The 12,238-nt window shown below is 52.3% G+C and overlaps 1 protein-coding gene across 6 annotated transcripts in view; it reads left to right on the top strand.

Moving 5' to 3' along the window:
* CREB3L1 (cAMP responsive element binding protein 3 like 1) overlaps positions 1–8,663 on the top strand; it is a 43,748-nt gene extending 35,085 nt beyond the window's left edge. For 4 of the 6 annotated variants that reach the window (NM_052854.4, NM_001425267.1, NM_001425269.1 and 1 more), the window contains 5 exons: positions 105–173; positions 3,540–3,639; positions 4,615–4,741; positions 7,518–7,782; positions 7,964–8,663. In NM_052854.4, coding sequence (NP_443086.1) covers positions 105–173; positions 3,540–3,639; positions 4,615–4,741; positions 7,518–7,782; positions 7,964–8,000 — 598 coding nt within the window. In that variant the 3' untranslated portion in view covers positions 8,001–8,663. Of the gene's footprint in view, positions 1–104; positions 174–2,424; positions 3,640–4,614; positions 4,742–7,517; positions 7,783–7,963 lie in introns of all 6 variants that reach the window. The other 2 variants (NR_189153.1, NM_001425266.1) reach the window with 2 other exon arrangements.

The raw sequence follows: 12,238 nt of genomic DNA on the forward strand, positions 1-12,238 counted from the left end.
GCAGAGGCAGGGGGCACAGGGAGTGTGATGGTGGTGGGCTGGGCCGAGGAGCTGTTGTGAGTCTGGGGGCTGCCCCTGAGCCTGTGCCTGCTTGGCCCCTACAGGGTGGAGACATTTACATCTGAGAACAATGAACTGTGGAAGAAGGTGGAGACCCTGGAGAATGCCAACAGGTGGGTAGTGCCTCCTGCATCCAACCTGGCCCCCTGCCCCTCTGCAACCCGTGCCTGGCTCTGCATAGCTCTGGGAGACAGGGGAGAGGAGAGAGAACTAAGTTTAGGATGACAGGGACCCCAGAAACACACCCTGCAGCCTTGGGCCACTTACATCCTGCCCCTCTCTGTGTTCCCATTTTTCCTCACCTACACCTGGCAGGGCTGGGGAGTTGCTTAAGTGAGCAGATGTTTTCAAAGTGTGGTCCTCAGACCAGCAACAATCCCTGGGAATTATTAGAAATGCTTATTCTCGGGCCCCATGCCAGGTCTACTGAATCAGAAGCTCCAGGGGTAGGGCCCAGCGCCCTGTGTTTTAATAAGCCCTCCACGTAATTAGGTTGCACCCTCAAGTTTGAGAACCACTGGTGTAAATCCTTGTTACTCAAAGCCAGCTGACCCAGACAGGCAACATCAGCATCACCTAGGAGCTTGTTAGAAATGCAGGCTGGGCACGGTGGCTCACGCTTGTAATCTCAGCACTTTGGGAGGATGAGGGGGGTGGATCATTTGAGGTTAGGAGTTCGAGACCAGACTGACCAACATGGTGAAACCCCATCTCTACTAAAAATAGAAAATTAGCTGGGCGTGGTGGTGGGCGCCTGTAATCCCAGCTACTCGGGAGGCTGAGGGAGAAGAATCACTTGAATCCGAGAGGCGGCAGTTGCAGTGAGCTGACACTGTGCCACTGCACTCCAGCCTGGGCCAGACTCTGTCTCAAAAAAAAAAATGCAGAATTTCAGAACTCTCTCCAGACTTACTGAGCTAAAAACTGCACATTCACAAGGTCCTTGGGTGATTCACATGTACTATGAAGTTTGAGAAACAGGAGTATAGAGACAGCAGGACAGTGCCTGGCAGGTAGCAGCCACGTCAAGTCACAGCTCTGGGTTCTTACGCTGCTCTGCCATTTTTGTGACTCTGGAGAAATCGTTAAATATCTCTGGGCCCCTGTTTCTTCGTCTAAATGGGGATGATAGAAACATTATCTCATAGGGCCAGGCACAGTGGCTTACGCCTGTAATCCCAGCATTTTGGGAGGCGGAGGCGGGCAAATCACTTGAGGCCAAGAGTTCGAGACCAGCCTGGCCAACATGGTGAAACCCCCATCTCTACTAAAAATACAAAAATTAGCCGGATGTGGTGGTGCATGCCTGTAATCCCAGCTACTCAGGAGGTTGAGGGAAAAGAATCACTGGAACCCGGGAGGCAGAGGTTACAGTGAGCTGAGATGGTGCCACCGTACTCCAGCCTGGGTGGCAGAGTGAGACTCTGTCTCAAAAAAAAAAAAAAAGAAAGAAAAGAAACATTATCTCATAGGATGGATGTGAGGGTATTAATAAGATCCTGCGAATAAAGGATCCAGCCTGATGCTTGGCATTTAGAAATGTGCAATTCATGTTAGCTTTTATTCTTCTTTCATTATTTTTATTTATTTATTTTCTTGAGATAGGGTCTCACTCTGTTGCCCATGCTGGAGCGTAGTGGGGTGATCATAGCTCACTGCAGCCTCAAACTCCTGATTCTCCCCCCTCAACCTCCTAAGTAGCTAGGACCACAGGCGCACACCACCACCCCTGGCTAATTTTAAGTATTTTGTAGAGACGTGGTCTTGCTGTGTTGCCCAGGCTGGTCTCCAGCTCCTGGACTCAAGCATACCTCCTGCTTTGGCTCCCAAAGTGCTGGGATTATAGGTGTGATCCACTGCACCTGGCCTTCTTTCATTATTTTTACTTTTTTATTTTTATTTACTTTTTTTTTTTTTTTGAGACACAGTCTTGCTCTGTCGCCCAGGCTGGAGTGCAGTGGCACAATCTCGGCTCACTGCAACCTCCGCCTCTTGGGTTCAAGCAATTCTCATGCCTCAGCCTCCCAAATAGCTGGGATTACAGACGTGTACCACCACACCCGGCTAATTTTTGTATTTTTAGTAGAGACAGGGTTTCACTATGTTGGCCAGGCTGGTCTTGAACTCTTGACTTCATGTAATCCTCCTGCCTCAGCCTCCCACAAGTGCTGAAATTACAGGCGTGAGCCACCACACCCCACCATTATTTTCATTCCAAATTCCTGATAGTGCCCAGCCATGAGCCTGTGGTAGGTCTTTAATAATTATTTGCTGGGATTAATTACAATAACCTAGACAACAGCCTTGGTATGCAGCAGGTGCTCAACACAAGACTTTTTCCTTCTTTCCTTCCTTCTCCCCCAGCTTCTCCAGCGGGATCCAGCCACTCCTCTGTTCCCTGATTGGCCTGGAGAATCCCACCTGACCCCCCACCCCACCCCTCTGTCTCTGGCTGGGGTTCCTTTCTGGCCCAAAGTAGGTCCAAGCCCTTGTAGTTATTTCGCCACCTGCTGTACATTGTGGGAACTGCAACCCCTACGTGCCCGTTTGGGTGGAGAGAGATTAAACATTTGCCCACCAAGCCTGTGCTGAACGCATTCTGTATGCACCCAGAAGATTCCACGCTGAGTGGGACCCGGTCCTCACCCTCAGGGAGGCCACAGTTAATAAAGGAGACTGATGTGGAGATATATAAATAAACGAAGTGCCGTGATAAAAGCAAACACAGCAATAAAGCAAAAATGGCTGGGCACGGTGGCCCATGCCTGTAATCCCAACACTTTGGGAGGCCGAAGCGGGTGGATCACCTGAGGTCAGGAGTTCCAGACAAGCCTGGCAAAACCCCGTCTCTACTAAAAATACAAAAATTAGCCGGCATGGTGGCGCACGCCTGTAGTCTCAGCTAGTCAGGAGGCTAAGGCAGGAGAATCACTTGAACCTCGGAGGCGGAGGTTGCAGTGAGTCGCAAACGCACCACTGCACTCCAGCCTGGGTGAAAGAGCGAGACTCTGTCTCAAAACAAAACAAAACAAAAAACCTAACAAAAACAATAGCTACCATTTACTAGACACTCACTACATACCAGGCACTGTGCCAAACAGCTCCTTCTTATCAGCTCAGGGTGCTGGGGGTGCCAGGGAGGGAAGGTCAGTGAAACTGTGGCAGGTGTCGGTTAAGCAAAAGAAGGCTGGCATCTGTGCAGCTGGGGGCAGGCCTTCCCTCCTCCAACCCCCTTGGCCAGGAGCATCACAGGGCAGGCCTGAGCTTCCACAAGGTGACCCAGCCAGTCACCATGAGGCAGGCCCCAGGCGCCAGGCCACTCTGCAGAGGAGCCACGCAGGAGGTGACCTTTCCTATCTTGACTGAAACGGGCACCTGGCGTGGAGGCCAAGTCTGGAGCCAGCCCCCTAGGAGAGCTCCAGGAGGCAGAGATGCCTGCGGGGTCAAAGCCTGCCAGCTGACTGCTGTGCCCTCCTCAGGACCCTGCTCCAGCAGCTGCAGAAACTCCAGACTCTGGTCACCAACAAGATCTCCAGACCTTACAAGATGGCCGCCACCCAGACTGGGACCTGCCTCATGGTAGGTGTGGCTCCCTCCACCACAGACCCACAGGAGGAGAGTTCTTCCCAAGGCTGGCTTTTTCCAGGGTTGGGCAGAGCTTTAAGGATCGGTAACATCGTGGGCAGCGTCCCAGGGTACACCATCCTGGCGCCTGGTGGGCTGGTTCTAGCAGACTCCAGACTCCTTCTCCAAGCCCATGGTGCCTTCTGCCTCACACCGGTCCCCGACTGGTTAACACAGTGTAGATGTGTAGGTGACTCCAGTGGCCCCAGCTAGGGGACAGCTGGGCAGGTTCCTTGAGGAGGCGGCTTCCACAGGCCTTGTGCAGGGAAGGGCTTGGGGAGACTCAGGGAAGAACGGACATGGTTCTTTCTGGAACAGATGGCAGTGAAAAGGCTGAGGAAACCCCTGGAAACCCGGAAGGCTCCCAGGGCGTGTTTCAGACCTCTTCCAGTCCCTCTTCTATCTTCTTCTGGAAATGGCCAGTCTCTTGCCGCCTGGCTCAGCATGCCCCGGCCCTCCGAGACCCTCGAGCTGTCAGGCAGCAGAACCAGGCTATGGGCAGGGGTAGTGTGGGCTCCGTGGCTCTCAGCACCTCCCGCTAGCCAGGCTCCTCAGAATCCTGCTGAGAACGTGATGTGGCGGTGTGTCCCCCTCCCTCGTCCCAGCCCCAAGCCCCACCTGCACCTATTCCTTCCTTTCCTGATTCCTCTACCCCGTAAGGGGACTCCACATTGGCCACTTCCCTCTTACTTCTAGCACTGCCTGTGGCGACCCCCCTACAATGGGCTGGGATGGCCTGGGCTGTCCCTGCCTTCCCCAGAGAGGATAGGAGACCCCACATGTAGGAGGGAGTGGTCGACTGGAGCAGCTGCTTCCTTGGGAAAACGCTAAGACTTTTGTGCCTGTTGGTTTGGGAGAGGAGGAGTGGGGTGGTCAGGGCCGTGGCCCCTCCTTACCCCAGATCTGATGCCACTCTCTCTTTGCTACCAGGTGGCAGCCTTGTGCTTTGTTCTGGTGCTGGGCTCCCTCGTGCCCTGCCTTCCCGAGTTCTCCTCCGGCTCCCAGACTGTGAAGGAAGACCCCCTGGCCGCAGACGGCGTCTACACGGCCAGCCAGAGTGAGTGCCCGCCTGTCATGCCAGCTCCCTGGGCTGAGGCTGCCCTGCCCCAGCCCCAGTGTCCAGGCAGAAGCCAGACATAAGAGAGAAGCCAAGTGTGGGGTCAGCATTATCTCATTTTGCCTCATTTTCCAGATGGGGAAACCGAGGCCCAAAGAGAGTCTATGCTTTGCTCAGTGTTTGTGGTAGAATTGGGACTAAAATACAGAGCTCCCGATGCCCAGCCTAGCTCCCAGAGAGCTCAGGAGTGGCTTGCAGGAGGTGGGTTTAGGGGATAACAGGAATGTTCCAGCCCTGGGCCCCATGCATTATGGTGCCAGTGCTTATGGGGCATCTGCTAGGCACCATCAGTATCTCATGATAGGGACAGCAAGTGAGTTTCAGCTCAAAAGCCATTTCCAATAAGGTGGTGGTAGCTGCCTGAAACACTGAGTTAAGAAGGACCCTGGGCCGGGCGCGGTGGCTCATGCCTGTAATCCCAGCACTTTGGGAGGCCGAGGCGGTGGATCACCTGAGGTCAGGAGTTCGACGCCAGCCTGGCCAGCATGGTGAAACCTCGTCTCTACTAAAAATACAAAACTTATCTGGGCATGGTGGCATGTGCCTGTAGTCCCGGCTACTTGAGAGGGGTGAGACAGGAGAATCACTTGAAACTGGGAGGCAGAAGTTGCAGTGAACCAAGATCACGCCACTGCAGTCCAGCCTGGGTGACAGAGTGAGACTCCATCTCAAAAAAAAAAGAAGGATCCTGAGGCACCATTCAGAATTGACAGGAAGGAGTGTCATGATCCACTGATAATGTCTACCATGGACAGAAGAAGGGTAGCGGTGGTGTGGGTTCAGATATCTACTGTTTCCAAGGGGGATAGTAAACGTACAGTGGTTAGGAGCATGGGGATGTCAAGTCCATCGTAACTGGCACTGCCACCTGCTGTGTGACCAGGGGCATGTGTCTTAAGCTTTCATTTCTTCATCTAGAAAATGGGAGTGGCAATTTTGCACTTACTGAGCCATGGCTGTGAGACAGTGCATGAAATAGCACAGTGTCTGTGCTTATGAAATGAGCACACTCAGTCTCTTAGAGCTCACGGAGGAGAGAATAGCTACATCACAGTAGCTGGCAAAGGGAGAACCAGGGTAGGGCCCAGCAAAGAAGAGTGTGGATTTCAGACGCAGAGAATCCTTCAGGTGGACCCACAGAGGAACTTCCTGGCTGTCCCTCATCACTTACCAGTCAGTCACTTACCAAGAACCACGTGTCTGGCAGGACAGGAGGAGGAAGAGGAAACAGATGGGAGGTCAGAGGAGGGAAGATTAAGGAGTGAGTTTCAAGAAGGAGGGATATAGCAGGGAGGATGAGCTAGACGTTGAGGGCCTTGAGGGGAGGAAGCTGGTGTGGGGAGGGTTAGGGAAAGAGGAAGTAGAGACAGGGAGAGTGAAAGCTCCTCCCCGGACACGTGCAGGCTGAGGAGGAGAGAACGGGGTGGTCACTAAAGGCGGGTGGGCAGCAGCAATGCAAGGTCTGGAGAGCCATGTGTCTGCTTTTCCAAGGCCACAGAAGCCACTGGAGAAAAAGGAGTGGAAAGAGAGCTGGGGTTGATGGATAAAGCCACAGTGAGAGGAGGCAATGAATGAGCCCCTTGGAGGGAAGGCAGTGGGTTTTAGGCCCAGGACCTGGGCTGGGTGGAGAGGAAGACACATCCCAGCAGGCAGATGGCTTTGGAGCAGGCTGGTTTGCAGAGCTGGCGCACTGCGCAGTTCCAGGGACCTCTGTTCACACAGACTATGAGGTCATGGCTGCAGAGCCGGAGGGGCAGCAGATCCCAGGGCCAGGCAGACCTGGGTTCGCATCCTCCCTTCAGGGAGGACAATTTCCCTGAGTGCCTGGAACTTCAGCTGCCTCCTCTGGGAAGCGGGGCTAAAGAAACCTCATTCCCTAGAGTTTCTCTAAGATTTTAACCACTCTACTTAGGTCTATGGGCCTTGGATAATGCCTAACAAATGATGGGTGTCCAACAAATGTTTGTTTTCCTTCTCTGAAGGGCAAATTAGGATCTAGAATGGGGAAGAGACTTATTCCAGGTCTCACAGAAAGTAAGTGGTGGACTGGCCGGGTGCGGTAACTCACTCCGGTAATCTCAGCACTTTGGGAGGCCAAGGTGGGAGGATCACTTGAGGCCCAGGAGTTCAAGATCAGCCTGGCCAACATGGTGAAACCCCGTCTCTACTAAAAATACAAAAAGTAGCCAGGTATGGTGGCACACACCTGTAGTCCCAGCTACTCGGGAGGCTGAGGCAGGAGAGTCGCTTGAGCTCGGGAGGCGGAGATTGCAGGGAGTCAAGATCCTGCCATTGCACTCCAGCCTGGGCGACAGAGCAAGACTCTGTCTCAAAAAAAAAAAAAAGGGAGATAGAGCAAGTAAGTGGTGGAGGTTAGAACACAGCTCCCAGATGCCCAAACTCAGTACCCTCTGCTAGGAAGAGGTGACTTTTCTGAGTATTTCCTGAACACAGTTTCAATCACTTCCCCTGTATTACCTCATTTAAACCTCTCATTTACATGAGGTTGGTCCTAGTATCCCTATTTTACAGAAGAGCACACTGAGGCTCAGAAAGTTTAAAGCAAAGTGTGTGGCTTACCTGAGGTCACACATCCGGGAAGTGTCAGAGCTGGGACTCAGATCCAGGGCCTGCGTCCTTAACCACTAGGCCATGAATGTGGCCAGGATGTTGAGGGAATCTTGGGCACACCGCTCATCCTACACTCCCTCTCCAGTGCCCTCCCGAAGCCTCCTATTCTACGATGACGGGGCAGGCTTATGGGAAGATGGCCGCAGCACCCTGCTGCCCATGGAGCCCCCAGATGGCTGGGAAATCAACCCCGGGGGGCCGGCAGAGCAGCGGCCCCGGGACCACCTGCAGCATGATCACCTGGACAGCACCCACGAGACCACCAAGTACCTGAGTGAGGCCTGGCCTAAAGACGGTGGAAACGGCACCAGCCCCGACTTCTCCCACTCCAAGGAGTGGTTCCACGACAGGTGGGGTGTGTGGCCCCTTTCCCTCCTGAGGTCTCAGGCTCCACCTGCCTCCTGCCCACCCTTGGTCCCCACATTGGCCACACCCTCCCAAGGCCCCATCCCTACTTGGTCTAGATCCAGCTTGCAGAGGGTAAGAGGGTTCCTGCTGGACAGTCATCGCTGGCCTCTCTTCTCTCTCCAGGGATCTGGGCCCCAACACCACCATCAAACTCTCCTAGGCCATGCCAAGACCCAGGACATAGGACGGACCCCTGGTACCCAGAAGAGGAGTTCTTGCTCACTAACCCGGATCCGCCTCGTGCCCCTGCCTCCTGGAGCTTCCCATTCCAGGAGAAAAGGCTCCACTTCCCAGCCCTTCCTTGCCCCTGACATTTGGACTCTTCCCTTGGGCCGACCACTCTGTTCTCATTCTCCTTCCCACCAACATCCATCCGTCCTTCTCAGACAAACCACTCACTGGGTACCCCACCTCCTCTCTCATATGCCCAACACGACCACTGCCTCCCTGCCCCCACACCTGCACCCAAACAGACACATCAACGCACCCCACTCACAGACACCCCTTACCCCACCCCCACTGTACAGAGACCAAGAACAGAAATTGTTTGTAAATAATGAACCTTATTTTTTATTATTGCCAATCCCCTAAGATATTGTATTTTACAAATCTCCCTCTTCCCTTCGCCCCTCCCTTGTTTTATATTTTATGAAGTTAGTGCGGGCTTTGCTGCTCCCTGGCCCAGGAAAGAGGGACTACCTGACCCTCACCTGGCACCCCCCTGCTGCTGCCCAAGCCGCTGGGCCTTTTTAATTGCCAAACTGCTCTCTTCATCAGCTCAGCACATGCTTTAAGAAAGCAAAACCAAAAAAAAAAAAAAAAAGATGCAGCATCAACTCCTGACTTTGTGCCTTTCTTCATTGGAGGGGAGGGAAAGTAGAACCAAAGGGCAGGGGAACAACAAGGGTAGGTTGATTTTATGTTCTGGCAGGGGGTGTGGGGGTATAGGAGTATGAGAAGGCATTTTTTTTTTTTTGTAGAGGTAGGGTCTCGCTATGTTGCCCAGGCTGGTCTCAGACTCCTGGGCTCAGTCTGCCCACCATGGCCTCCCACAGTGCTGGGATTACAGGCGTGAGCCACCATGCCCAGCCTGTTCACTTTTTATTTTCCAATATTTTGTTGACTGATTTGTTATTTCCTCTTCTGTCTTTGGGCTTTATTTATAGCTTTTATATGTGTATGCTTTTATTTGAGGATTAGGAAGATAGTTTAGATAAATGTTTTTTATCTGCCTATTTAAGGAGAACCCCATGTATGTATGTATGTGTACATGAATGAATGACAAGATCTCGCTCTATTGCCCAAGTTGGAGTCCAGTGGTGCAATCATAACTCACTGTGGTTTCAAAATCCTGGGCTTAAGCAATCTTCCACCTCAGCCTCCCAAAGTGCTGGGATTACAGGCGTCAGCCACTGCACCTGGCCAAGAAGGCATTTCTATTGGGCTTTCTCTTCTAGCCAGGTGCAGAATTCAAACCAAACAGCCAAAGAATCTGCTGCAATTCACTCACCTCAGGGCTGCTCCAAGGATCAAGACAGAGTATCAAAGCCACCATCTTGGCCTTTGGGGATGGCCACTGCAAGAATGGAGCCTCCACTGTGGTCCAGGCACTGTGCTAGACACTTCACATACTATACCCAGTTTGGTCCTCCTAAGACCTGCCAGTTTCTTAGTTCTTGTATCCTTTGCCTCAGCTGGATTGAAGGCATAGACTTCTAAGTCAGAAGAGCTGCATTTGAGTATTGGAGCTGCCACTTGCTAGCTGTGTGTGGCAGGTAGAATTCTAATATAGCCTCTAAGATTCCCATCCACTGGTGTACACACCCTGTTGAATCCTTCCCCTAGAACATGGAGGGGACCTGCGAAGATGAGAGACCATCACGCTCATAATTAGATGATCTTTTCTGGAAACAGTTAAGAGATTTTGCAGATGTAATTAAGATCCCAAATCGGATGATTTTGAGTTCATTAAAAAGGGAGATGAGGCCGGGCACGCAGTGGCTCATGCCCGTAATCCCAGAATTTTGGGAGGCCGAAGTGGGCAGATCACTTGAGGTCAGGAGTTCCAGACCAGCCTGGCCAATATGGTGAAACCCCATCTCTTTGTAGAAATACAAAAATTAGGTGGGCATTGTAGTGCACACCTAAAATCCCAGCTACTCGGGAGGCTGAGGTAGGAGAATTGCTTGAACCTGGGAGGTGGAGGTTGCAGTGAGCCGAGATCATGCCACTGCACTCCAACCTGGGTGACAGAGCAAAACTCTGTCTCAAAAAAATAAATAAATAATAAAAGGTAGATGATCCTGGGTGGGCCTGGCTTAATCAGGTGAAAGCCACGAAGGAAGGGACTGGGCCTTCCTAAATAGAGAGAGCACCTCCTGCTGGCCATGGGGCAGAAAGCCATGCTGTGAGGGGAGGGGCGGTTTCTAGGAGCCGAGGATCCCAGTGCCATAGCAGCAAGGACCAAATTCTGCCAACAACCTGAACACGCTCGGAAGATGACCCCAAGCTCCAGATGCAAACATAGCCTAGACAATACCTGGCTGCAGCCTGGTGACACCCAGAGGGAAGGACCCTGTTAAGCCATACCCAGACTGTGAGCCATGGACACAGAGATAGGGAATGTGTGTTGTCTGAAGCTGCCAGGTGGTAGTGATTTGCTAGGCAACATAGGACATAAGTAAGACACTCTGTAACCGGAATCTCTCTGAGCCCCCATTTCTTCATTTGTAAAACAAGGCTGTATTGGGGACTCAAGGAGGTAAGTCATCTAAAGTGCTCAGAACAGGGCCCAGAACTAGTGAGCTCCAAGAAGCACCAGCTGTGCATTAAGAGGCAATGTCGGGACCGGGTGCAGTGGCTCACGCCTGTAATCCCAAGCACCCTGGGAGGCCGAGGTGGGTGGATCATCTGAGGTTATGAGTTCCAGCCTGGCCAACATGGCAAAACCCTGTCTCCACTAAAATATAGAAATTAGCCGGGCGTGGTGTCAGATGCCTGTAATCCCAGCTACTCCTGAGGCAGGGAAAATTGCTTGAACCCAGGAGGTGGAGGTTGCAGTAAGCCAAGATTGCGCCACTGCACTCCAGCCTGGGTGACACAGAAGACTCTGTCTGAAAAAAAAAAAAAAGAAAGAAAGAAAGAAAAGAAAGAAAAGAAAAAAGCCAATATTGATACCATGTGCTACAGAGGGCCTCACAAGCGGGGCTAGGAAGGCACACAGACCTCACCCAGACCTGAGCACCAAGCCTTTCTGGAGGAGGGGACAGGAAAGATTGTTAGACATTGGCAGGAAATGGCCAGACATGGTGGCTCATGCCTGTAATCCCAGCGCTTTGGGAGGCTAAGGCGAGAGGATTGCTTGAGCCCAGGAGTTAAAGGCCAGCCTGGGCAAAACATAGTGAGACCCTGGTCCCTACGCAAATTTTTTTTTTTTTTTGAGATAGAGTCTTGCTCTATTGCCCAGGCTGGAGAGCAGTGGCAGGATCTCAGCTCACTGCAACCCCCCACCGTCTTCTGGGTTCAAGCAATTCTCCTGCCTCAGCCTCCCGAGTAGCTGGGACTACAGGCACACGCCACCACGCCCAGCTAATTTTTGTATTTTTAGTAGAAACGGGGTTTCACCGTGTTGGCCAGGATGATCTCCAACTCTTGACCTTGTGAGCCACCCATTTCCACCTCCCAAAGTGCTGGGATTACAGGCGTGAGCCACCACGCCCGGCCACAATTTTTTTTTTTAATCATGATAATAATGGCCCATGCCTGTTGTCCTAGCTACTCAGGAGGCTGGGGCAGGAGGATCACTTGAACCCAGGAGTTCAAGGCTGCAGTGAGCTATGATCGTGCTACTGCACTTCAGCTTGGGTGACAGAGCAAAACCCCCCCACTCTAAAAATACTAATAAAAGGCAGAAAAGAGGAAAAGGGGCATGCCAGGAAAAAGCAGCAGCCTGGGCAAAAGACTTCAAGGTGAGACAGAACAGGAAACGTTTCAGAAAAGTCAAACAGGCCAGGCGAGGTGGCTTGCACCTGTAATCCCAGCACTTTGGGAGGCCGAGGTGGGAACATCACTTGAGCCCAGGAGTTGGAGACCAGCCTGGGCAACATAGCAAGACCCTGTCCCTATTGAAAGAAAAGAAAAGAAAAGTCAAATAATTTACAATAGCCAGAAGGTAGAGGCCAGAGACGCTAAGAATTAAGCCTGACTGATGAGCCAGGGCCGGATCCAGAGGGGTCACGAATGCCTTGCTAAGGCATTTGGACTTTATCACTCAGGCACGATACTTTCATACACAGAAGCAAGGGCACGGTGGTGGGATGGTGCCTACACTACCACCAGCCACCCACCAGAAGAAAAGTGGGACGAGGCCAGGCAGAATCATGAAAACTCAGAACTGGC

Source organism: Homo sapiens, chromosome 11 (assembly GCF_000001405.40).
Source record: "Homo sapiens chromosome 11, GRCh38.p14 Primary Assembly".
Lineage (NCBI taxonomy): Eukaryota > Metazoa > Chordata > Mammalia > Primates > Hominidae > Homo > Homo sapiens.